We start from the raw sequence: 24,418 nt of genomic DNA on the forward strand, positions 1-24,418 counted from the left end.
GGGTTCTGTCTAGGACTTGCTCAGAGCTGGGGGAGGGAGGCAAAGGGGGCTTCCTGAAAGATGTGGCTGGGATGGGCCTCCAGGATCTTCTGCAAGGAGATGTGGGTGGGGGCTGGGAGGACTGGCACAGGGTGGGGGACCACCTTGCCAGAGTGGAGGCCCCCCAGGAGGTAGGAGCTCCCCTCCTGCCTGGGGAAGACACTGGCCCACATGGGGTCAGAGGCCACAGCCGCCCACCCCACCCTCTTCCCCTAGAGCCCGGTGGTCTGCGACTCCCCTCCCACACATGGTCCCGGGTCACTCAAAGGACGACACGGGGAGCTTTCCTCGAAGAATATTTTAATACATTTTAAAACTCAACAACCTTGTATAAAAACCTGTCGAGTCTGCTGGCACAGCTGGGGCTGGGGGTTGGGGGCCGGGGGCCTGTGTGGACAGGGCTGGTCTGGACGAGTGGGTTGGGGCAAGAGGGCATCGCTCATCCCAACACAGAAACAGGTCTCCAGCTCCGAAGATTAAACAATCCACCCGGCTCCCACCAGTTCCTTTCCAAATCACGGCCCAGCCAGCCCCGTGCGTGTCGAGAGTGGGAGAGGGTGTGTGGAGGTTTGTGCTGCCCCACGTGGGCACCCGAAGATGCCCTGGCAAGTCACGGAGAAAACACAGCTCTTTCCTCCACAACAAGGAAAATGATTTAATTCTACAAATTTACAAACCAAAATACAAAAACAAAACATGGAGCACAAAGTAAGACGAGGAGTTCCGAGTCTCATCGCAGCTCCAGCCGCAGTAGCCACGCCTGTGGTCCCGGCTGAGTTCTCCCCATGACGGGGTCCACTCTGACCTTCAGAACTTGAGGCTGAAGCCGGGGCCCGCGGCAGAGGCCCCCTGGTTCGTGGTGGTAAGGTGGAAGCCCGTCTCCTTCAGGTCGTCGTCACCCTGGGACGAGTCGGCTACCGTGAGAACCCTGCCCAAGCCAGCCCCACCTGTGGGCACGCCCCACCCGCCAGGCCCCTCACCAGCTGGCTGTAGCCCAGGCCTCCCTCAGGGGGCCTCGGGCTGGTGCCCCGCTTCACACGCTGCTGCTCGCTCTTGGCGGGCCACGTGGGGAACATGGAGGGGTCGATGGGGAGGGGGGTCTCGCGGAAATACTCATGCTTGAGGCCGTCCTCAGCGCTGATCCTCCTCCCGGGGAAGTAGGTCAGGAACCTGGGGGGAGAGGGCCAGAGGCCCAGGAGGTGCTCGTGTGCTCCACTGGGTCCCCCAAAGATGGGCTGTGTTGGGACGGGGCTCAGGGCATGGGACGCCAGGCACCAGAGCAGTTCTGGAACGTGGTGAGCCAGCAGGTAGGCCTGGGACTGGGAAGTCACCGCTATGGCTCGGGACCTCCCGCCACCCGGCTGCACTGGGCTCACTTGTTCATGAGGTCGAAGCCCTGGTCTGAGAGCAGAGCCCCGAAGCGCTTGCGGAGGTTGTTGTAGGGGTGCTCGCTGAAGGTCATCTTTTTGACTACTGGGAGCTCACTGTAGCCGGGCCAGATTTTCTCACTGGGGGTCCCCAGCTCCTGAAAGACAGAGGTGCTTCAACAGCCACACCAAGTGGCCCACAGTGTTGGCACCTGTGTCCCGTCAGAGAAGACAAGCCACCAGGAGGGCTCTCAGTGGCCCTGGTCCCCATCTCAACCCAGCACCTGTGCGCCCCGCAGCCCCATTCCTGCAACTCCTCTGAAATCCATAGCGCACCTGCGGCAGGGCCAGACCCACCTTGAACACTTTGTTGATCTGATCGATTTCCGAATTCCCGGGGAACAGAGGCTTCTGAGTCAGCAGCTCCCCGAAGATGCAGCCCACTGACCACATGTCCACGGCCGTGGAGTATTCCTAAGACGCCAGGAGAGGTGTTCAGGAAGGCCAGTGCCCGCGAAGCTGTGGGAGGCTGCATGGGGGACAGGGGAGGCACTCAGACGCCCAGGACTCACCTTGGCACCAAGCAGCAGCTCTGGGGCGCGGTACCACTGGGTCACCACGACCGGGGTGTAGGCCTTCAGAGGGGATCCGTACTCCCGCGCCAGCCCAAAATCACCCACCTGCAACGACAGATGGGCGGCTGTGGGTGGGCCTGGGCGGGTCACCCTGGGATGGGCCACTCGGAGGGGGGCTCACCTTGAGGATGCCGGCGTGGCTCAGCAGCAGGTTGGACGTCTTGAGGTCACGGTGCAGGATCCAGTTGTCGTGCAGGTGTTTCACCCCCCGCAGCAGCTGGATCATCAGGGTCTTCACCTCCCCTGGGAGGGAGGGAGGCTCCCATGTGGACCCGGCCGCCCCAAGCCCAGGGCACTCAGGGTGGCCCGCTCGCCTCGGCAGCAACAGAGGCTTCTCAGGGCTTTCCCTGTGGATGCAGCTGGCCCTCCCTGCAGCACTGTCACCGCGGGGGTGACCAGGACACTGCCCCCACTTGTACGCAGACAGGACCCCGGGGCGCGGCTGTACCTGGCAGGAAGGGCTGTTTCATGGTCTCCATCAGGCTCTTGAGGTCGTGCTCCACGTAGTTCATCACGATGTAGATCTTGTCCATGTTGCTGCCCACCACAATCTCCTGCAGGGCACGGCTCTGTGGGTGCTGGGCACCTCCAGGCCCCCACCCACCCCTGCACCCGGGCGCAGATGCTGAGGGACAGTAAGGACCTCCGGTGCCACCCGGGAGGCAAATACTTGCTTCTGTGTGGTCTGTGAAGGGCTCCACTAAGTGCAGGAGAGTGTAGGAAGCACCCGGCCCCAGGACAGCACGGGGCCCTGTCGGAAAAGCCTTCCACCCGGGGCCAGGCGTGGTGGGGCCATGCTCACTCTAACGGTGACAATGTTGGGATGCTGGGCCTTGAGGATGGTGTTGATCTCCCTCAGGGACGTGATCGGGAAGCCCTCCTTCTCCTTCTCCATCTTCAGCCGCTTTAGAGCCACAATTTCATCTGTGAAGAAAATACAGACGGCACTGAGAGGCATTCTCAAAGTCACGGTACCAACAGTGGACTCGTTCAGTGAGGACCGCAGGCAGTGCCCAAAGCGCCAGCATTTCACGGAGGGGGGTCTCGTTCTAGGTGGGGGCACGTGGGCACCAGGAGAACGCCCCAGCTGAGGTCTCGGCAACACCCACGGCTTCCCACTCAACACACCACAGACACTCACAGCCACCTACAGCCACCTGGGATCCCAGCGGCCACGCCGACTCCACATCGACTTCCCCAACAGAGCCGGCCTCACCTGGGATCCCAGTGGCCGACTCCCAACAGAGTTCCCGGCTCACACACCTGCTTGGGTGGGACGCTGGGAACGCAAACCTGCACACCAGCCCCGGCACAGACCACTCCACGCGCTGGGCCTCGGCCCTGTGGGGCAGGCCGCCTGCTACTGCAAGGGAGTGGCAAAGCCCCAGGGCCAGGCTGACCTCTGGCTTCTAGAGGTGCTGAGGGGTCCAACCTCCAGTAGCTGCTCAGGTGAAGCGGGCCCAGGTGCAGTCGCAGCTCTCGGGCAGCCAGCCCCTGCCCCACTTCCCCTGCCTTTGTGGGGTGAGGGGACCCCACCCACCTGTTTTCTTGTCTTTTGCTCTGTAGACCACTCCATAGGTGCCCTCCTCGATCCTGTTCAGGCACTGGAACTCCTCGACGCTCCGGCAGCCCTGGGAAGGAAGCGCCTGTGTGAGGTCTCAGTGGCCATGCCAGCTGGAGGGAGGGCGGCTGCGTCCACAGGCACGGCACACCCAGCACGGGGCAGGTGCAGGGCAGAGCCTTGGGACTGGGCCGGGGGTGGAGCTGGGAGCAGCTCAGTTCTTTCAAAGTCTCTTTCCTTGCAAAACCATCTGACACTTTATTATGAAACAAAACCAGTGTGAACAAAAGGCCATCCCAGCCAGGTGCAAGGGCTCAGGCCTGTAATTCCAGCACTTTGGGAGGGCAAGGCAGGAGGATTGCTTGAGCCCAGGAGTTCAAGACCAGCCTGGCCAACATAGCAACACTCTGTTTTCTTTTTTTCTTTTTGAGATGGAGTCTCGCTCTGTCACCCAGGCTGGAGTGCAATGGTGAGATCTCGGCTCACTGCAACCTCCACCTCCTGGGTTCAGGCGATTCTCCTGCCTCAGCCTCCCTAGTAGCTGGGAGTATAGGTACGCACCACCACGCCAGGCTAATTTTTGTATTTTTAGTAGAGACAGGATTTCACCATATTGGCCAGGCTGGTCTCGAACTCCTGACCTCTGATCCGCCCACCGCCTCGGCCTCCCAAAGTGCTGGGATTACAGGCGTGAGCCACTGTGCCTGGCCAAAACTCTTCTCTACAAAATAAAAAAATTAGCCAGGCATGGTGGCTTGCGCCTGTAGTTCCAGCTACTCAGGAGGCTGAGATGGGAGGATTGTTTGAGCCTGGGAGGTGGAGGCTCCAGTGAGCTATGATTAAGCCACTCCACTCCAGCCTGGATGACAGAGACAGACCCAGTCTCCAAAAAAAAGGCCATCCGGAGAGTCTCTCTGTCAAAGTGGATGTGTCCCCTGCTTGTACCAGGATGACACTGAGGACGGGCCCTACCTGCCAGGCGCAGCATGATGCCCCATGCCAGGGCACCTACCCCTCGGTGTACCTTGGGGCCGGTGCCCAGGCCGGATGTCACGTACTCTGGGTGGCCTGTGGCCCGACGCCTACGCTCAGCAGCACTAAGGGGCAGAGGCGCTCACAAGGCATAGGGCAGTCGACAGAGGCCTGCTGCATGCGCCAGAGAGAACCTCTCCGCCCACAGGCACCAAGGAGGGGGCCGAGTCCCTGCCGGTCTCCCAGGCCCCCGAGGCCACTGGTACCTTCTCAGGCTTGTCCCTTCCAAATCACTCCCAACAATATCCTGCCTTATTGATAGCTGCCTGAGCAAAAGGCTTCTGGTCACACATCTACACTGACTCCCGTAGCCGCTCCCCCATCCAAGCCCTGCACAGATGCCGGTAACAAGGCCTTGGTGCCTACATAACCCGCCCACGCAGGGGTCAAGTGGAAGGCACTGCTCTCCAGTGCGGAGGAGGACGCAACTCGGGCAGCAGTGACAGCAGCGCGGCCGCACGCCCAGGCTGCCTTTCAAGCCGCAGAGCAGTCCTGCGGGCAGCTCCCTGTCCACCCAGTTCCGTCCAGCATGAGAAAGAGGCGGGACCTAGAAGCATGAGGGGCCAGTGGCTGTGCCCGCCCGTCACTGCCCCAGTGGGCCCAGCAGCCCTGTGAGGCGACAGACGCCAACACGGGGGCCAGGCTTCGCTCAGCCCCTGTGGTAACTCCGACTGCCAATGCGGACAGCGGCCCGGGGCGAGGGGAGGGCCTGACCTGCAGGGCCGGCAGGTACTTGGGCAGCTCCTGCTTGAGCTCGATGGGCAACAGGGCAGGGGAGTCGGGCACATAGTCGCCCTCTGTCAGGGCGCTGCTCTGCGGCGTTCCCTCACCCACTTCTTCCTCTGCTTCTTCACTCTCCCCGGAATCTCGGTCGAACCGTGACTCTGGAACTGGAAAAGTTGAACCTAATTACGAAGCTAGGAGTAAGTAAGGATCATGAACCTCCTCCTGCCCCGGGGGCATCAAGCGCGTGGCAGGGCTGCCCCGTGTCCCGCTGGGAGGTGCTGGCGCTGGGCTCTCGTCCCCTGGACACAGGGCACCGAGGCCTAAGAGTGCTGGCAGGCTCGGCTGAGACAGAGCCCGGATGCTGAGCTGGGAGGAGGCGTCGGGTGTCATGTGGGGGACAAGCCCACATCCACGTCCACCAGGCTGAGGACATAACCTCACTGCCTGTCGGAGGCTGGGCCAGGCCTCTGTTCTGCAGGGACAGGCCCGGAGCCACCATCTGACGGGCCTCCCCTGTGGGGAACTGGTCCTGGGCTTCCCAGCTCCTCGGCCCTGCTGGGCACTCAGGACGCCCTTGGTCAGCACTGTGCCTCGCTGAGGAATGCGGGCCCCACCGGCACAGCCTGGAGCGGCCAACGAATCAGGCGGCCTCCCAGACCCTGGCGTGCCCCACGCCGCGCAGGACCGGCTGTCTTAGGAGAGGGCTGCTGCACTCGGAGACAGACAAGGAGGGGGCTCTGTCTCCAGGGAGGTTCTTACCAACCAAGAGGTGGTTTTCATTTTCTCGTTCTTCATCTTCACTCATTTCTTCCTCACTTACTTCTTCTGCAAGAGAAAGGAGGCGTCTGCTCAGACCAGCACCGGGGCGAGTGCTGCCACAGGCAGGATGCGGGCTCCGCTTCAGCTAAGCAACAAGTGTTCCCAAGAATGGATATGGAGGCTGGGCGCGGTGGCTCACGCCTGTAATCCCAGTGCTTTGGGAGGCCGAGGCGGGTGGATCACCTGAGGTCAGGAGTTCGAGACCATCCTGGCCAACGTGGTGAAACCCCGTCTCGACTAAAAATACAAAAATTATCCGGGCGTGGTGGCGCACACCTGTACTCCCAGCTACTTGGGAGGCTGAGGCGGGAGGATCACTTGAACCCGGGAGGCAGAGGTTGCAGTGAGCCGAGATCATGCCACTGCACTCCAGCCTGGGCAACAGATCAAGATTCCATCTCAAAAAAACAAACAAAAAGAATCGATGTGGAGGTGTCCCGAGAGAGTCCTAGATAGAAGGGAGTTTCAACTCCCCCGCCCGCCAGCTACTTCTCTGCGGTTTCTAACACTATAGTGAAGTCACAACACCTCACACAGTCGTCGCGGTGCCTCACCGGCAGACTGCTCTGATGCCTCCTCAGAGTTGCTGCCGGTCTCCTCCTCCTCCTCTTCCTCTTCCTCCTCCTCCTCCTCTGATTCTTCACTGGTGCTCCCTTCCTCCTCCTCCTCTTCCTCCTCCTCCTCTTCTTCCTCAGAACCTGAGCCTGATTCCGCTGTAGAAAGACAGCAGAGCAGAGGGTGAACCTGGGCCTTCCTGGGCAGCAGTGGTCAAGGCCTTGGCCAGGCGGTTCCAGGTACCTGACGAGGACTCGGCCGAGCTGGTCTTCCTCTCGCTGTCGCTGATGTCCTGTAAGTCGGACAGCAGGTCCCTTTCTTCCATTTTCTCTTCTTTTACTTATGAGATAAACCATAAAGGTGAATTTGGGGAAATGTTTTTAAACAAACAAGCTACCACCACCCCAAAACTAGTGCCTTTCACGTAACGATTAACTTTGCTTGGTCGGAAACCAGCTCATCCACAGACGCTGGAAGCCACTTCTCTAACGGGGCCAGTGGCGAATGTCCCAGCGGATAAACACACGTCCTGTGTCCTGGCCGCACACAGACACTCACGGTCCCTCTCACGACACGAGAGGACTTCAGCCAGCACATCTCTCACTTTCTTCTGAAGCGGTTACTTAGCTGGGCTTTAAATGAATCCTACACACTTATGCCAAACATCCCCCAGAAAAGACTCACACTGTGCTGGCTTCTGCGCAGGCGCCGGCCTGGCCTCACCTGGCTTCCGGCCGTCTCCCAACTCGAACCGCTCCCGCGGCGGCCGAGGCGGGCTGCGACTCCAGTGGCTGGCTTTCACTTTGTCGCTGTAGTCCTCTCTCATCGTTCGGTGATGTGCAGACACTGGCGCGCAGGGCAGAGAGGGAGATGGCACTAGCAGCACTGCCTTCCTCAAAAGGCCCCACCCGGCACAGCTGCCTCGTCTCCCACACCCGCACCTGGCAGACACACCCACAGCGTGCACAGGGTGCTGACAGCATCGGGGTCAGAGGCCAGAGGTCTCCCAGGAAGCCCAGGGAGAAAAAGCTCCAACCTGGAGGCCGTGAGCCCGAGGACCCAGGTGGACCTTCTAGACTGATCTTCACTGGTCAAAAAGGAAGGGGCGGGAGAAGATTCTGGAAAGATGGAGTAGGAAGCACTGGGAATCAGTCTCCCCACCGAGACAACACTTGCATCACAGGATCAGGCCTGTGCAACTACTGAGGTGCTCTGGAGTCTACTGAAGGTTTGCAACTTCAGGGGGAATCTTGGAGAGTAAACTGTGATTCATTAATCAACGTCACCGCTTCGCACATTAGTGGCTCCCACCTCACTCCCCGCTGGCAGGCAGCAGCCTGCATGCAGCTCGCCGGACCCAGGTGGGCAGACGGACACACACACCCGAGGTCAGTGTGATGACTGCGTGTCCCACCCCAGAGGCATGAAGAGGCAGCAGCCACGGCCACCCCCAAGCTGAAGGTACTTCCAGGGCATGAGCACCACGTCCCCCGTTGCCCCCTTCATTTCTCTCTATTCCCCCTTTAGGAGGCAGACACTTCAGGACAAGAACATTAAAAACATCTGTATTGACGGGAACGTTAAAAAGTGGCTGCACGTGACCAGGAAAAGGCTCAGGCTCAGAAAAGACCCGTGAAGACCCTGAGTTTCCACAACAGGCCGACCCCACAGACACAGCCCAGCACAACCAAAACAACAAGTGCACACCCTTGAGTGGGGACCAGGAAGAATCACATCATGAGAATCAAATGTCCATTTTTTTGACTAAGAAAAACACAAGAGAAACAAAGAAACAGGACAGTATGTCCCATTCAGAGGGGAAAAAAAGAAGCCAACAGACACGGTTCCTGAAAATCACCTGACGGTAGATGTCCCAGACAAAGATTTTAGGGAACTGTCTTAAACCTTCAGTTCCTCAGAGAACGAAAGGAAGATGTGGAGAAAGTCAAGAAAATGACGCGTGAACACGACGGAAATATCAACAGAGACAGAAGATCCAACAAGAAACCAGAGAGAAATTCCAGAGCTAATAAGTACATGCTCACAATAGACACTAAAAAGTAAATATTCACAACAGAAACTCACAGGCAGATGTGAGCAGGCAGAAGAAATAATCGGTGAGCCTGAAGACAATAAAATCACATCGTCTGAGGAAAAGAAAGCAGAAGAGACTGAAGAAAAGGGAGCAGTGCTGAGCGGCCTCGGGGACCCCAACAGATCTGTGGGAGCCCAGGAGGGAGGAGAGGAGCAGAGAGGGTATCTGAAGAATTCCTCAAAACCCCCACATTGGATGAAAACCGTAAATATAAACATTAGAGAGGCTCAGTGAACTCCAGGTAGAATGAAGTCAAGAGGCCCACAGGAAAACCCATTATTAAACAGTTGAAAGCCTAAGGCAAAGAGAATCTTCAAAGCATCCAAGGGATCCTCAATTAGGTCATCAGATTAAAGCATCCAAGGGATCCTCTATAAGATCATCAGATTTCTCATCAGAAACTTTGGAGGCCAGAAGACAATGGGCTGAAATAGTCCAAGTGAAAAGGAAAAACTGTCAGCTAGGCATGAGGGTTCCTTGAGCCCAGGAATTCAAGACCAGCCTGGGCAATACAGGGACACCTTGTTTCTACTGAAAAATGAGCCAGGTGTGGTGGCACACGCTACGCCTGTAGGTCCCAGCTACGCGGGAGGCTGAGGTGGGAAGATCACTTGTGCCCAGGAGTTCGAGGTTGCAGTGAGCTATGATCGCTCCACTGCACTCCAGCCTGGGCAACAGAAGAAGACTCTGTCTCAAAACAACAACAACAAAATTGTCAACCAAGAACCACGTATCCAGCAAACTTTCCTTCAAAGATGAGGGAGAAATGAGGATATTCTCAGATAAACAAAAGCAGAGGGAGTTCATTACTACTAGACCTAGACCTGCCTTGAAGAATAAGCTCCAGGGAGTTGTGTGGGGTGTAAGGAAAGGACGCGAGACAGAAACCGGAAGCTGGGTGAAGAAATAAAGATCTCCATTAAGGTGAGGACGTGGGTGACTATAAAAGCTCGTACTGGCCGGCCGCGGTGGCTCACGCCTGTAATCGCAGCACTGTGGGAGGCCGAGGTGGGTGGATCACGAGGCCAAGAGATCAAGAGACTATTCTGGCTAACACGGTGAAACCCTGTCTCTACTAAAAATATAAAAAAATAGCTGAACATGGTGGCGGGTGCCTGTAATCCCTGCTACTCCGGAGGCTGAGGCAGGAGGATCACTTGAACCCGGGGGGCAGAGGGTGCAGTGAGCCGAGATCGCGCCACCGCACTCCAGCCTGGGGGACAAGAGCAAAACTCTGCCTCCAAAAAAAAAAAAAAAGGCAGGGGCGAAAAGCAAGCACCGGAACCAAGCGCCCGCCTGTGACAGCAAGTGCCCAGCACCAGGGGGCAGCAGACACGCGTCCCGCCGAGCACAGCTGCCCACCGCGCCGCCTACCTTCCCTGCGGGCCTCCCGCTCCTTGCGCCGCTCCTCCGCCCGCCGCTCGCGCTCCTTCTGCTCCCGCTGCTCCTTCTGCTGCTCCCGCATCTTGCGCTCCCGCTCCCGCTTCCTTTCTAACTGCTCCAAGCGGTCCCTGAAGAGGCACACGCCATCATTCCCCCTAAACAGAAGCTTGCTTATCGCGTTTTTGTCCACATTTGTAAGCTGGCTTTCTACGTAATTCAATCCGTGAAGTTTTTTTTTCATTTTTTTATTTTATTTTCTTTGAGACGGAGTCTTCATCTGTCCCCCAGGCTGGAGTGCGGTGGCGCGATCTCGGCTCACTGCAACCTCCGCCTCCCGGGTTCGAGCGATTCTCCTGCCTCAGCCTCCCGAGTAGCTGGGATTACAGGCGTGCGCCCTGTACTCCCAGCTAATTTTTGTATTTTTAGTAGAGACGAGGGTTTCACCATGTTAGCCAGGATGGTCTCAATCTCCTGACCTCGTGATCCGCCTGCCTCCGCTTTTCAAAGTGCTGGGTTTACAGGCCCGAGCCACCGTGCCCAGCTGCCATTTCCAATTCTAATTAATAAATGATCCATTTCTTTCCATTCGATCGGTGTTTGCTTCATGGATTTTGGGCTCTGTGGTTAGATGCATTCACATGTATCATTGCTGTATCTTCCTGCTGTATTGGCCTGTTTCTGGCTGTGAAGTCCTTGCTCCTTCTTGTTTCTAGCTTTTTTTTTTTTTTTGAGACAGGGTCTTGGTTTGTCACCCAGGCTGGAGTGCAGTGGCGCAATCTCGGCTCACTGCAACCTCCATCTCACGAGTTCAAGTGATTCTCATACCTGAGCCTCCCGAGTAGCTGGGATTACAGGTGTGCACCACCACACCCAGGTGATTTTTGTATTTTTACTAGAGACAGGGTTTCACCATGTTGGCCAGGCTGGTTTCTAATATTTCTTAACATCTGTTTTGTCTGGTATGAGTACAGCCATTCAAGCTCTCCTATGACAGCTGATGTTTGTACGCTGCGTCTTTTCCTGTTCTCTAGCAGACAGCATACAGTTAGATCTTGTTTTTCTATCTGATAATCTGCCCTGTCTGTTTGGGGCACAGAGACCTTTCACATGTCATATAATTACACGTACAGTTGGATTTACTTTCCTTGCTTTGTTGTGTCTTTTTTATTCTTCCCTTTTTGATTTTAAATTACATACGTTTAGCATACCATTTTAATTTATTTGTACTTTTTAGAACACTAAGAAAACAACTTTCTTAGTGGTTGCTCTAGGGATCACCATATGCCTCATGATACTAGCTCAAGTCCAGTACAATATAAAACTGTTGTAACACAGCTTCATTCCCTGTCTTCTTTGTGCAGTCCATTTATGCCACATACCACGACAACAGTGTAATTATTTTACACAATCGTAGTTCCAGTAAAACCTAAGATGTGAGGAGAGATATTTACAGGATATTGACGTCAACCTACACTTGCTATCTGCAGTGCCTGTCCTTCCTTCCTGAGGATTCAAGTTACCGTCTGGTGTCATTTCTATTCAACTTGAAGGTCTTCCTTTAGTATTTCCTTTAAGGCAGGTTTCGCCAACAATGAATCCCACCAGTCTCTGCTTCTCAGGGAATGTCGTTCGTTCCCTTTCACTTGTGTAGAACAGTTTTGATTCCTGGCTGATGGTTCTTCTCTCTAAGCAGCTTGAGTATGCCACTCCACTGCCTTCTGGCCTCCATTGTTTCTAAGAAGTCAGTGGCTGGCGGTATTGAAGCTCCCCTTTCATGGGATGGGTCATTCTTCTCTGAGCCCTTTCAACATTTTCTCTTTGGCCTTTGCCAGTTTGACTATGATGTGACTTTGCATTTATTCTAGTTCAAACTTCCTGTGCTCTTGAATGTGCATATTTTTTAATTAAAATTTGGAAAGTTTTTAACCATTATTGTAACAAATATCTTTCCTCTCTCCTGGAACCCCCATTCGACGTGCTTTGGTACAGCAGATGTTGTACCACGGGTTTCTGAGGCTCTGTGCATTTTTCTTGTTTTTTTCTCTCTGTTCTTCAGAATGGATAATTTCTACTGCTCCATCCACAAGTTGTTTCCAAGCCTTTACTAAATTCAACATCTGGACACTCAAGACAGTTTCTACTGATGATGTTCTTCCTCAGTACGGGTCACACTGTCATACTTCTTTGTATTTTAGATAATACATTTGTAGCAATTCTGGATTCTAAGTTTTCCCTTTCGTTGTTACCACCAAGGCCTGTCTGGTTGTCCGTGAAATCCATCTCCCTCATAGCTCATGGCCACCCCGTTCCTTCCCACATGCCTATTTTAATTTTCAACCTTGGCTTCCTAGGGGTCACCACCATGGCTGCACAGCTTAGCAATTAGCCAGCACTGGAAAAAGGCTGGGCTCAAATACCTCGAGCACAGTAAGGCTTCCTTGGCCCACGGCTGTGTGTGGACAGGGAGCACACTGAACGTTCAGGCGTCATTCGCATCTGTGGCGGCTTCTATTTTCTGCTAGGTCCTTTCACGCAGCTGCATCCTCAGGGCTGGTCACAAGTGGGTGGCGGCTCGAGCTCTCTCCAGTCTCTGCTGCACGTCTTTGGCGGGATCACAGCTGCTCCCAACCACACTGTACTTCATTCTAGCAGACCTCTTGGCCTTTTCCTCCCTCCACTGAGGATGCTGGTGGGCAAGGCCACTGCCCACTGCTCTAAACGGAGTAACCCCTTCCAAGGCAGCAAGGAAACTGCAGGTCCTGCAGCTGCCCTGTCCCAGTGGAACCTCCGTGCTTCCAAGTGCAGAGTGGAAGCAGTAAAGGGAGCAGCTCTCAGGCCAGAAGGTCAGATTCTTACTGCTTTTACCCACAGCTCAGCAGTTTTCCAAGCATCAGTGCTTCTCAGATTATCCTTATCAGTTTCCTTTTTGTCAGAGACAAGGTCTCTCTACGTTGCCCAGGCTGGCGTCATGCGGTCCTCTGGCCTTAGCCTCCCACGTAGCATATGCTACCACACCCAGTTCTGGATTGGCTGATCTGAATCGGCCCTACCCAGAAGTCTGCCCCCAACAATTTTTGTTCATTCACTCTCCTGTCTTTACCTTCTGGGAAATCAATATGACAGCCCAAATTTCATCTACCAACCTCCACTTCTATCCCAAGCTCTACTCTCGTGGGACAAGACACACTCAATGTCTGGCACAGGGCGTGGCATACATGAATGTTTCACACACTAACAGGAACTAGGCCAACTGAAACCTTGCTCACCCAGCAGCGGTCTCGGACCTTGACCCCTGGGCCTCAGTGTCTCCCACACCCTTCGGCATCAACAAGAACCAGCGCCCTCTCATCATCTTTACATGCTGTGTACCCAGCCCTGGCTGCTGGCAAACATCGCTGCACACGCCCTTCCGCTTCAGACTCCTCTCTTCCTGGAGCAGCTTGCAAGCTTTCTGTGGACTCACTCTGAAGGCGGAGATGGGCCTGCTCGCACCTGGCCTACAGCCTTTTTCCTGGTTCACAGAACAGATCTGGGGCTACACCGATGTTCTTTCTTGGGAATCTGGCTCATAAAGGGGAACGAATATACAGACTAATGGCCAGGAGTCCTAGGAGTCCAGTGTCCCGATTTCCAGACTGTTTCAAGGTTTTTGGGATCTCCCTTCTCCTTTTTTTGAGACAGTCTCACTCTGTCAACCAGGCTGGAGTGCAGTAGCATGGTCATAGCTTACTGCAGCCTTGACCTCCCAGGCTCAAGGGATCCAACCACCTCAGCCTCGTAAGTGCTGGAATTCTAGCGTGAGCCACTGCGCCCGGCGGGACGTGCAGATTTCTGATCCCTTCATTGTCTTCCCTCAATCAAATCACACCCGTTCTTACTTCCAGATGCAGTGAAAACTCACTCCCTCAGGACAGTTCTCTTGGTCAGCCTCGTCCAGCGTTCACTGTGCTGTTTCCATGTCTACCACTTCTGCAACAAATGTGACTTCTATTGCCAAATTCTTCTTCATTGCTGTGACAGGACACACTACCACGGCCCTTTCATAAAGTCCTCAACTGACCCAGCCCACTCACCTTTCTCTCCTGGAATGCTCCCTTGCCATTTCCCTTCTCTTCTGTCTTTCCCATTCCCGGCGAGCTTTATCCTGTTCTTCTCGATGTCGTTTCCGACGTTCGTGCTCTCTTTCTTTCACTCTAGCATGCTTCCCTAATGAGAAATAAAGTGTCATGCAAAGAAACCTCACTTCAAAAATTTCACGAGGCCGGGCACGGTGGCTTACGCCTGTAATCCCAGCACTTTGGGAGGCCGAGGCGGGTGGATCACCTGAGGTCAGGAGTTCAAAACCAGCCTGGCCAACATGGTGAAACCCCGTCTCTACTAAAAATACAAAAATTAGCTGGGCGTGGTGGCAGGCACCTGTAATCCCAGGTACTAAGGGAGGCTGAGGCTGTAGAATCACTTGAACCTGGGAGGTGGAGGTTGCGGTGAGCCGAGATCGTGCCACTGCACTCCAGCCTGGGCGAAAAAGTGAGACTCCATCTCAAAAAAAAAAAAAAAAAAAAAAAAAAAAAAAAAAAAAATCACATGAAAATGAAATTAAATCAAGAACATTAAATATTTAAATAATGATGTTAAGTAATCCTAATCTTTTTTTTTTTTTTTTTGAAGAGACAGGGTCTCACTATATTGGCCAAGCTGGTCTTGAACTCCTGGGCTCAAGTGATCCTCCATCCTTGTCCTCCCAAAGTGCTGGGATTACAGGCCTGGGCCACTGCACCCAGTCGAATAATCATGATTTTATGTTAAATAAAAAACTTTGAAAATAGAAAACTATCTGCAGTAAGCGTCTAATTATGAAGAAAGAAGAAAAAAGAAAAACAATTCTGCTATCACAGAAGAGAATTGTAATATTCATCTTTTAAAAATTTTCTATACTGAATAAACTATAATTATCAGTTTTATAATACAAAAACCACTCTTCACAAAGACTACAGAACAAAGCTTTGCTATCAGTGGGCTTCTCCACTGTGCAATGAAGCCACATTAATTAATCAAGCGTATTTATAATAATGAGATTTCAATCGGGCTCCAGGTCCAATTTTCCTAACACCCGTAAGAATCTCCTGATGTTGGTACGAGATCAAACTGCTCAAGCCTAACCCATTCTTTGGACTTGAGCAAATACCCATTTTGGGGTGTGTTTTTCTCCTATACTTGTTGAATTCAGGTCATTTTAAATGTAAACAAACTGCTCCCAAACAATATAATGGGGGAGAGAAAACCCCAGAGGAAAAATGGACTAGCCATTCTGAATGGTCTGTGACACACGCACGCTTTCAGCTAGAGTTTGCTCTCTCTGGTTTTCGGTCTGTGACACACGCATGCTTTCAGCTAGAGTTTGCTCTCTCTGGTTTTCGGTCTGTGACACACGCACACTTTCAGCTGGAGTATCCTCTCTATAGCCCCTCTGAACGGTCTGTGACACACGCATGCTTTCAGCTAGAGTTTGCTCTCTCTGGTTTTCGGTCTGTGACACACGCACGCTTTCAGCTAGAGTATCCTCTCTATAGCCCCTCTGAACGGTCTGTGACACACGCATGCTTTCAGCTAGAGTTTGCTCTCTCTGGTTTTCAGTCTGTGACACATGCATGCTTTCAGCTAGAGTATTCTCTCTATAGCCCTTCTGAATGGTCTGTGACACACGCATGCTTTCAGCTGGAGTTTGCTCTGTCTGGTTTTCGGTCTGTGACACACGCATGCTTTTAGCTAGTTTGCTCTCTATAGCCCTTCTGAATGGTCTGTGACACACGCACGCTTTCAGCTAGAGTTTGCTCTTTCTGGTTTTCGGTCTGTGACACACGCATGCTTTCAGCTAGAGTTTGCTCTCTCTGGTTTTCGGTCTGTGACACACGCATGCTTTCAGCTAGGGTATTCTCTCTATAGCCCTTCTGAATGGTCTGTGACACACGCATGCTTTCAGGTGGAGTTTGCTCTCTCTGGTTTTCGGTCTGTGACACACGCATGCTTTCAGCTAGAGTATTCTCTCTATAGCCCCTCTGAACGGTCTGTGACACACGCATGCTTTCAGCTGGAGTTTGCTCTCTCTGGTTTTCGGTCTGTGACACACGCAGGCTTTTAGCTAGAGTTTGCTCTCCATAGCCCTTCTGAATGGTCTGTGACACACGCACGCTTTCAGCTAGAGTTTGCTCTCTCTGGTTTTCGGTCTGTGATACACGCACGCTTTCAGCTAGAGTTTGCTCTCTCTGGTTTTCGGTCTGTGACACACGCACGCTTTCAGCTAGAGTATTCTCTCTATAGCCATTCTGAACGGTCTGTGACGCACGTATGCTTTCAGCTAGAGTATTCTTTTTTTTTTTTTTGAGACGGAGTCTTGCTCTGTCGCCCAGGCTAGAGTGTGCAGTGGTGCGATAGCGGCTCACTGCAAGCTCCGCCTCCCAGGTTCATGCCATTCTCCTGCCTCAGCCTCCAGAGCAGCTGGGACTACAGGTGCCCGCCACCACGCCCGGCTAATTTTTTGTATTTTTAGTAGAGACTGGGTTTCACCGTGTTAGCCAGGATGGTCTTGATCTCCTGACCTTGTGATCCACCCGCCTCAGCCTCCCAAAGTGCTGGGATTACAGGCTTGAGCCACCACGCCCGGCCTTCAGCTAGAGTATTCTCTCTATAGCCCTTCTGAATGGTCTGTGACACACGCATGCTTTCAGCTAGAGTTTGCTCTCTCTATAGCCCTTCTGAATGGCCTGTGACACACGCATGCTTTCAGCTAGTTTGCTCTCTCTGGTTTTCGGTCTGTGACGCACACATGCTTTCAGCTAGAGTTTGCTCTCTATAGCCCCTCTGAATGGTCTGTGACACATGCATGCTTTCAGCTATTCTCTCTATAGCCCTTCTGAACGGTCTGTGACACCATTATGCTTTCAGCTACAGTTTGCTTTCTCTGGTTTTTCAGTGGTGCTCTGGGGAAGGCAGAAGAGTAGGAACAGGAAAGAAACCACACTTGAACATGATGTCAAAGAAAGTAAATGCTTCTGTACCCCCTTCTGCTGAATGGCTATGATGCCTACATTTTTCTTTTCTCTTTTCATCTTTTCTGTGATGAACTTTTTCTTTCCGAGACATTTGCTGGGGTGGTTTGATGGCCAAAGAATCATCTTCTTCTCCTCTGAAATAAAACACAACAGCACTGCGTCATGCTTGAGAAAGTGCGGAAAAGCATCAGGCTATTATGAGGTTTTTTCAACCCAGAAAAATGCATGATTCAGATAGGAACGAAGCTGAAACATCATTTAAAAAATTACATTAATTCTCCAACTTCAGGCATCTTTTTTTTTTTTTTTTTTTAGACGGAGTCTCGCTCTGTCACCCAGGCTGGAGTGTAGACACGCGATCTCGGATCACTGCAACCTCCACCTTTCCGGGTTCACACCATTCTCCTGCCTCAGCCTCCGGAGTAGCTGGGACTACAGGCACCCGCCACCACACCCAGCTAATTTTTGTATTTTTAGTAGAGACGGGGTTTCACTGTGTTAGCCAAGATGGTCTCAATCTCCTAACCTGGTGATCTGCCTGCCTCGGCTTCCCAAAGTGCTGGGATTACAGGCGTGAGCCACCGCGCCCGGCCTAGGAGTCTTAAGATTCAGATGAAAAATGTAAGAAATCAATGTTTTGTGCAGATGGAACGAAATGCCTCTCAGAGGACCTGCAGGGGGTGAGGGGCAGGTTCATTAGCTTGACTGTGGTGACAGTTTCAGGGGCATGTAAAAATACATCACATCTTATTTATTTAATTTAATTTTATTTATTTATTTATTTTATTTGAGATTGGAGTCTTGCTCTGTCGCCCAGGCTGGAGGGCAGTGGCGAGACTCTCGGCTCACTACAAGCTCTACCTCCTGGGTTCATGCCATTCTCCTGCCTCAGCCTTCCAAGTAACTGGGACTACAGGCGCCCACCACCACGCCCGGCTAATTTTTTTTGTATTTTTTAGTAGAGACGGAGTTTCACTGTGTTAGCCAGGGTGGTCTCGATCTCCTGACCTTGTGATCTGCCCGCCTCAGCCTCCCAAAGTGCTGGGATTACAGGTGTGAGCCGCCACGCCCGGCCTGTATTTATTTTTTTGAGATGGAGTCTCGCTCTGTTGCCCAGGCTGGAGTCCAGCGGCGCAATCTTGGCTCACTGCAACCTCTGCCTCCTGTCCCAGGTTCGAGCAATTCTCCTGCCTCAGCCTCCGGAGTAGCTGGGAGTACAGGCGTGCGCTACCACACCCAGCTAATTTTTATATTTTTAGTAGAGACGGGGTTTCACCATATTGGTCAGGCTGATCTGAAACTCATGACCTCATGATCCACCCGCCTCAGCCTCCCAAAGTGCTGGGATTACAGGCATGAGCCATCGCACCCGGACTTATTATTTTTTTCAGACAGAATCTTGCTATGTCCCCCAGGGTAGAATACAGAGGCACAATCTTGGCTCACTGCAACCTTTGCCTCCCACATTCAAGCAATTCTCCTGCCTCAGCCTCCTGAGTAGCTGGGACTACAGGTGTACACCACCATGCCAGGCTAATTTTTGTATTTGTAGTAGAGACAGGCTTTCACCAGTAACCCTAGGAAAGAGTAAACCTCAATAGTTGTAACAGCATGCCCTGTCACAGTAATCCTAGGTCGTGGCTCGCACCTGTAATCCCAGCATTTTGGGAGGCCGAGGTGGACGGATCACCAGGTCAGAAGATCGAGACCATCCTGGCTAATTTTTTGTATTTTTAGTAGAGACGGGGTTTCACCGTGTTAGCCAGGAGGCTGAGGCAGGAGAATGGTGTGAACCAGGGAGGCGGAGCTTGCAGTGAGCCGAGATGGCGCCACTGCACTCCAGCCTGGGTGAGCAAGACTCTTGAGACACCGTCTCAAAAAAAAAAAGAGTACACTTCAGTATTTACAACAGCACACTGAGCACACTGTCACAGTAACCCTAGGAAAGAGTAAACCTTAATAGTTACAATAGCACACCCCGTCACGTAACCCTAGGGAAGAGTAAACCTCAATAGTTAAAACAGCACACCCCGTCACAGTAGCCCTAGGAAAGAGTAAACCTCAATAGTTACAACAGCACACCCTGTCACGGTAACCTTAGGAAAGAGTAATCTCAGTAGTACAACAGCTACAACACGCCCTGTCACGGTAACTCTAGGAAAGAGTAAACCTTAATAGTTACAATAGCACACAGTTGTCACAGTGACCCTAGGAAGGACTGGCCAGGCCAGGGCTGTGTACAGTTGGGTCTTGCACATCTGTACATCCGCTCACCTGTCTTCCATTGAGTCTTCTCTTCTATACGGGGAGTTCCTTATTGTGATCTCCATGCAGTGATCTCTCAGCTCCCCCTCCTCAAGGGAATCCCGCTTGGAATCCCGGTCATCAGACTAAGAAGCAAAGAGAAAGTTAATCATTTTCTTTATAAGTTTTTTTTTCTTCATAGATAAAAGTATTTTTAATGATAATCAAACCTGGGCAACATCCCAAAACAAACTTTCACATGTACTCTGAATGAGCCAGTGTTATAAAATATAAAGAATTTTTGGCCAGGTGCAGTGGCTCACGCTTGTTAATCCCAGCACTTTGGGAGGCCGAGGCGGGTGGATCACGAGGTCAGGACATTAAGACCATCCTGGCTAACACGGAGAGACCCCATCTCTACTAAAAATACAAAAAATTAGCTTGGCATGTTGGTGAGCCCCTGTAGTCCCAGCTACTCAGGAAGCTGAGGTAGGAGAATGGTGTGAACCTGGCCCTGGGCGACAGTGCGAGATTCCGTCTCAAAAACAAAAAAAAAGCTAACAAAGTGAGCACATGCTATTGGAAAAATACTCAAAGCAGAGTTGCTACAAACCTTTAATTTGGAAAAATTTCAATATCTGTGAAGCATAATAAAGTGAAGTGCAAGGTATGCCTGTACTCACTAACATCCCAAATGATGCTACAAATCTTAGCAAAAGAGGTACTTTGCCAATGCCTCTTACCAAATTACTAAAAAGGTTTCCTGAGTACATTACCATGCAAACCAAGAAAGACGTAAAATATTTATATTAATTTCAAGGCAAGTTCCCACTATATTAAAAATACTTAGAGATAGTATTATGAATATACTAATAATGAACCGAGAAAAATTAGTCCAGTTTTGCTAATGACTTAACATTCAACGTATTTTATTCTCCATGTATGCTCAATCTAGACACAGCTTTAGTGTGTTAAATCTGCCTTTAATGTCAACTGAATATTAGAATACATTTTGGGCTCACCTGCGACATTTGGAAGTACAAAAGAACTTCACCGAAGAAGCGTTGTTCTAATGGAAAAATGAGGGCAAAGAAATTAAATCTCCTTTAAGAAAACCACTTACTTAAAAAAATATGGCTTACATTTTTTAAGCGTTTTATCTCTGCTTTCTCCTCTTGTTCCTTCCTTCGTTTCTTTTCCTGAAGAATTTCATCTAAAGTTTTCACTTTCCAAGAGTCCTTTTCATCACCCATTTGAGTTAAAACACTGCAAAAAGAAAAATAATTCAGCCTACATCAGGACACAGCAAGCTATGGTGCTGAACACTTGAACCTAGTCACTTTTGAGGGATTCAGAATAAATCCTCATTAAGAATAAGAAGTTGTGCCCGGCGCAGTGGCTCAAGACGGTAACCCTAGCACTTTGGGAGGCCGAGGCGAGCAGATCGCTGGAGTTCCGGAGTTCAACACCAGCCCGGGCAACATGGCAAAACCTCGTCTCTACAAAAAATACAAAAGTTAGCCCAGTGTGGTGGCGCGTGCCTGTATTCCTAGCTACAGGAAGGAGGCTGCTAGAGGCAGGAGGATCACTTGAATCAGAGAGGTCAAGGCTGCAATGAGCCAAGACTGCGCCACTGCACTCCAGCCTAGATAACAAAGTAAGACTTGGTTAAAAAAAAAAAAAAAAAAAGGTAAGCTCTAGGCTGAGGCGGGTGGATCACAAGGTCGGGAGGTCAAGACCAGCCTGGCCAACACGGCGAAAACCCTGTCTCCACTAAAAATACAAAACTTAGCTGGGCGTGGTGGCGGGTGCCTGTAATCCCAGCTACTCGGGAGGCCGAGGCAGCAGAATCGCTTGAATCCGAAAGGCGGAGGTTCCGGTGAGCCGAGGTCGCGTCACTGCACTCCAGCAAGACCCCGTCTCAAAAAAAAAAAAAAAAAAAAAAAAAAAAAAAAAAACAAGAATGATAAGTTGTAAGCCAGGCAAGGTGGCGAGCGCCTGTAGTCCCATATACTCTGCAAGCTGAGATGGGAGACCGATTGAGCCCAGGAGTTCCAGGCTGAAGTGCGCTTGTGAACAGCCACTGCGCTGCAGCATGGGCGACAAAAAAGAGTGATGGGTTCTGAAAAATGACCGCTTGAAATCAAGTCTCGTTTCTGTCATTCTTGTATGGTCTTGGGTAACGTAATTCACCTCAGTTCAGTCTTCCGTACAACCAGAATAACAACACCTACGTGATAGTATCGATCGCGGATTAAAGATCATCCGTTTAAAGGCTCTTAACTCAGGACCTGCCACTCATCAAACACTGCTTTTACTGTCAGAATCTGCTAGAAAGACCGCTTGGACTACGTGAAGCCACTAGCACACTGGACAGCTGCACCTTGAGACCGGGGAGATGCTCCGAGATGTGCTCGCGAACAAGGCCACCTGACCCGGGCACTGGGCTATTTCCTCGGGTTCAGTCCCGCACACTTGAGGTTCAGCCTGGCAGACGTTGGCTCCAGACAGCGTTTGGACCCGCCGCCTCCACCACCCAAAGTTCCGTGCGGGATGAGACTGTCCGCGGAAGCGAGGGTGTCGCTCGCCCCCGGGCCCGGGTCCGCCCCGCTCCGAGGCCTGCTCGGAAGAAAGACCTCGGTGCGCAGTTCTCGTCGCGCTCCCACACCTGGTCCGCCCAGTCGGAACTCACCCCTACGGGGCCGCGGCCGGTCCCTGAGCCTGAGAAGAAACAGCAACCGGCGCTCGCCAGAAGTATCCTCACTTCCTGTGTTGACGCCTAATGATGATATAATAGCCGACCTCTGGCCCAGAACTCAAGACGACAGGGGCTCGCTCTGTGCGGCACTTCCTGTGTCTGCGCGGGATGATGACGCATAAAACAGCGCTTGCTCAGGTCCAGGACTCCAAAAGAAACTGCGCCGTGAGCTGCACTTCCGACTTCGGCGCGGGCCGGGGCGCCGAGCAGAGCGACGCCGACTTTTGGAGCAGTTTGCGCCTGCGCGGAACGCGTGGCCGGCTTCCGGAATCCTACCGGGACTTTTCCGGTAGCGAAGCCCGCGCCTGTGCCAAGGCTTGCGAGCAGAATGCCTTCGCGATGGACGCCCGCATTCCACCCCCTTGACCGCTGGGACCCCTAGTGGCGGGTGGGTGGAGCGCGCTCCATTTACCTGCTGGTTACCTCGTGAGGCGCCTCAGGTCTGTGTGTCTTGTAAAGGCCGATCTCGGAATTTAACTCTGAACCTTACTCAGAAACAAAGCAGGGAGAGCTCTTACGATGTGATTTTATTTTATTTATTCATGTATTTACTTTTGAGTCGGAGCCTTGCTCTGCCGCCCAGGTTGGAGTGCAGTGGCGTGGTCTTGGCTCACTGCAGCCTCCTCCCGGGTTCAAGGAATTTTCCTGCCTCAGCCTCCCGAGTAGCTGGAACCACAGGCCCGCGCCACCACGCCCGGCTAATTTTTATATTTTTGGTAGAGACGAGGTTTCGCCATATTGGCCAGGCTGGTCTCGAACTCCTGACCTCAAGTGATCCGCCTGCTTCGTCCTCCTAAAGTGCTGGGATTACAGGCGTGAGCCACCGCGCCGGGCCTTTTACAATGTGATTTTGAAGCTGACACTGGCAGTGGGTCCTCAAAGTGCAGACTCACTGGGTATGGTGCTTCCCCCAACTCCCAGGGCCCCACTCCAAACCCATGGATTCAGAGCATTGCAGGAGAAGAGGATAAAACGAGCAATTAATTCCCTTTCCATATGTCAGGTTTTCCTCTTGCCTTGAAAAGTCACAGAAAAATGCTTTAGACATCTGAATCTCAGGAAACAAACAATGGAAGATAAACATCCGCATTTACTGGGCCTGAAATGGGAAAATGAAAGATGTGGCAAGAAACTGACAAGGGCCCAAGAAGGGCGATGGGTATCGGAATTCTTTTCATCCCGGAATGAAATGCTGCTTGCTTTGTGTACCCAAGCTCTTTTTTTATTTTTATTTTTTTGAGACGGAGTCTCGCTCTGTTGCCCAGGCTGGAGTGCAGTGGCGCGATCTCGGGTCACTGGAAGCTCCGCCACCCGGATTCACGCCATTCTCCCGCCTCCACTCCATTCGCCCGCATTAGGCTCCTGAGTACCTGTGACTACAGGCGCCTGCCACCATGCCCGGCTAATTTTTTTTTTATTTTCGGTAGAGACGGGGTTTTACCGTGTTAGCCAGGATGGTCTCAATCTCCTGACCTCGTGATCAGCCTGCCTCTGCCTCCCAAAGTGCTGGGATTACAGGCGTGAGCCACCGCGCCTGGCCTCCCCCAAGCTCTTAATGTTGCTTCCTGAGTTCTTGGTAACTGGGGAAATCTCCCTATTTTTTTATTTTTATTTTTTTTTGAGACGGAGTCTTGCTCTGTCGCCCAGGCTGGAGTGCAGTGGCGCAATCTCGGCTCACTGCAAGCCCCACCTCCCGGGTTCAACGCCATTATCCTGCGAGCCTCAGCCTGCCGAGTAGCTGGGACTACAGGCACCCGCCACCGCGCCTGGCTAATTTTTTGTATTTTTTTTAGTAGAGACGGGGTTTCACTGTGTTCGCCAGGATGGTCTCGATCTCCTTACCTTGTGATTCGCCCGCCTTGGCCTCCCAGAGTGCTGGGATTACAGGCGTGAGCCACTGCGCCTAGCTATTTTTATTTTTTCTGATAGGGAGACTCGCTCTGGCCCAGGCTGGAGGGCAGTGGCGGGATCTCCGCTCATTGCAAGCTCCGCCTCCTGGGTTCACGCCATTCTCCCGCCTCCACTCCATTCTCCCATCTTAGGCTCCAGAGTAGCTGGGCCACCATGCCCGGCTAATTTTTTGTATTTTTAGTTGAGACCGGGTTTCACTGTGTTAGCCAGGATGGTCTTGATCTCGTGACCTCGTGATCTGCCT

At 52.4% G+C, this 24,418-nt stretch overlaps 1 protein-coding gene across 6 annotated transcripts, besides 2 other annotated features; it reads right to left on the bottom strand.

Annotated features, from left to right (window-relative positions):
• On the bottom strand, positions 319–22,297 carry CDK11A (cyclin dependent kinase 11A). Of its 6 annotated transcripts, none has more exons than NR_132739.2 (20): positions 22,198–22,297; positions 20,648–20,771; positions 19,536–19,651; positions 17,268–17,395; positions 14,286–14,418; positions 10,204–10,340; positions 7,458–7,580; positions 6,978–7,073; positions 6,734–6,892; positions 6,120–6,185; positions 5,465–5,524; positions 3,582–3,672; positions 2,844–2,965; positions 2,490–2,595; positions 2,163–2,284; positions 1,979–2,086; positions 1,764–1,880; positions 1,416–1,564; positions 1,020–1,209; positions 319–939 (listed from the first exon to the last, which is right to left on the bottom strand). NR_132739.2 is itself a non-coding variant. In NM_033529.4 (20 exons), exons 2-20 carry the CDS (start codon positions 20,756–20,758, stop codon positions 847–849), a joined length of 2,313 nt encoding a protein of 770 aa, NP_277071.2. In that variant the 5' UTR covers positions 20,759–20,771; positions 22,198–22,297; the 3' UTR covers positions 319–846. The 6 variants fall into 6 exon arrangements, 4 of the variants coding, with proteins under 4 accessions (NP_277071.2, NP_001300825.1, NP_001300911.1 ...); NR_132740.2 differs by having other exon boundaries at positions 7,419–7,580; NM_033529.4 differs by having other exon boundaries at positions 5,349–5,524; positions 17,298–17,395.
• Positions 22,180–22,409: an enhancer, noted in NCBI's record as "active region_32". NCBI's record gives its function as "activates an Ori minimal core promoter by ATAC-STARR-seq in GM12878 lymphoblastoid cells {active_cell/tissue: GM12878}" and the evidence as "EXISTENCE:reporter gene assay evidence [ECO:0000049][PMID:35858748]".
• Positions 22,390–23,229: an enhancer, noted in NCBI's record as "NANOG-H3K27ac-H3K4me1 hESC enhancer chr1:1655889-1656728 (GRCh37/hg19 assembly coordinates)". NCBI's record gives its function as "activates a minimal SCP1, AML or CMV promoter by ChIP-STARR-seq in primed H9 embryonic stem cells {active_cell/tissue: H9 hESC(primed)}" and the evidence as "EXISTENCE:reporter gene assay evidence [ECO:0000049][PMID:30033119]".

Source organism: Homo sapiens, chromosome 1 (genome assembly GCF_000001405.40).
Source record: "Homo sapiens chromosome 1, GRCh38.p14 Primary Assembly".
NCBI classification, from domain to species: domain Eukaryota; kingdom Metazoa; phylum Chordata; class Mammalia; order Primates; family Hominidae; genus Homo; species Homo sapiens.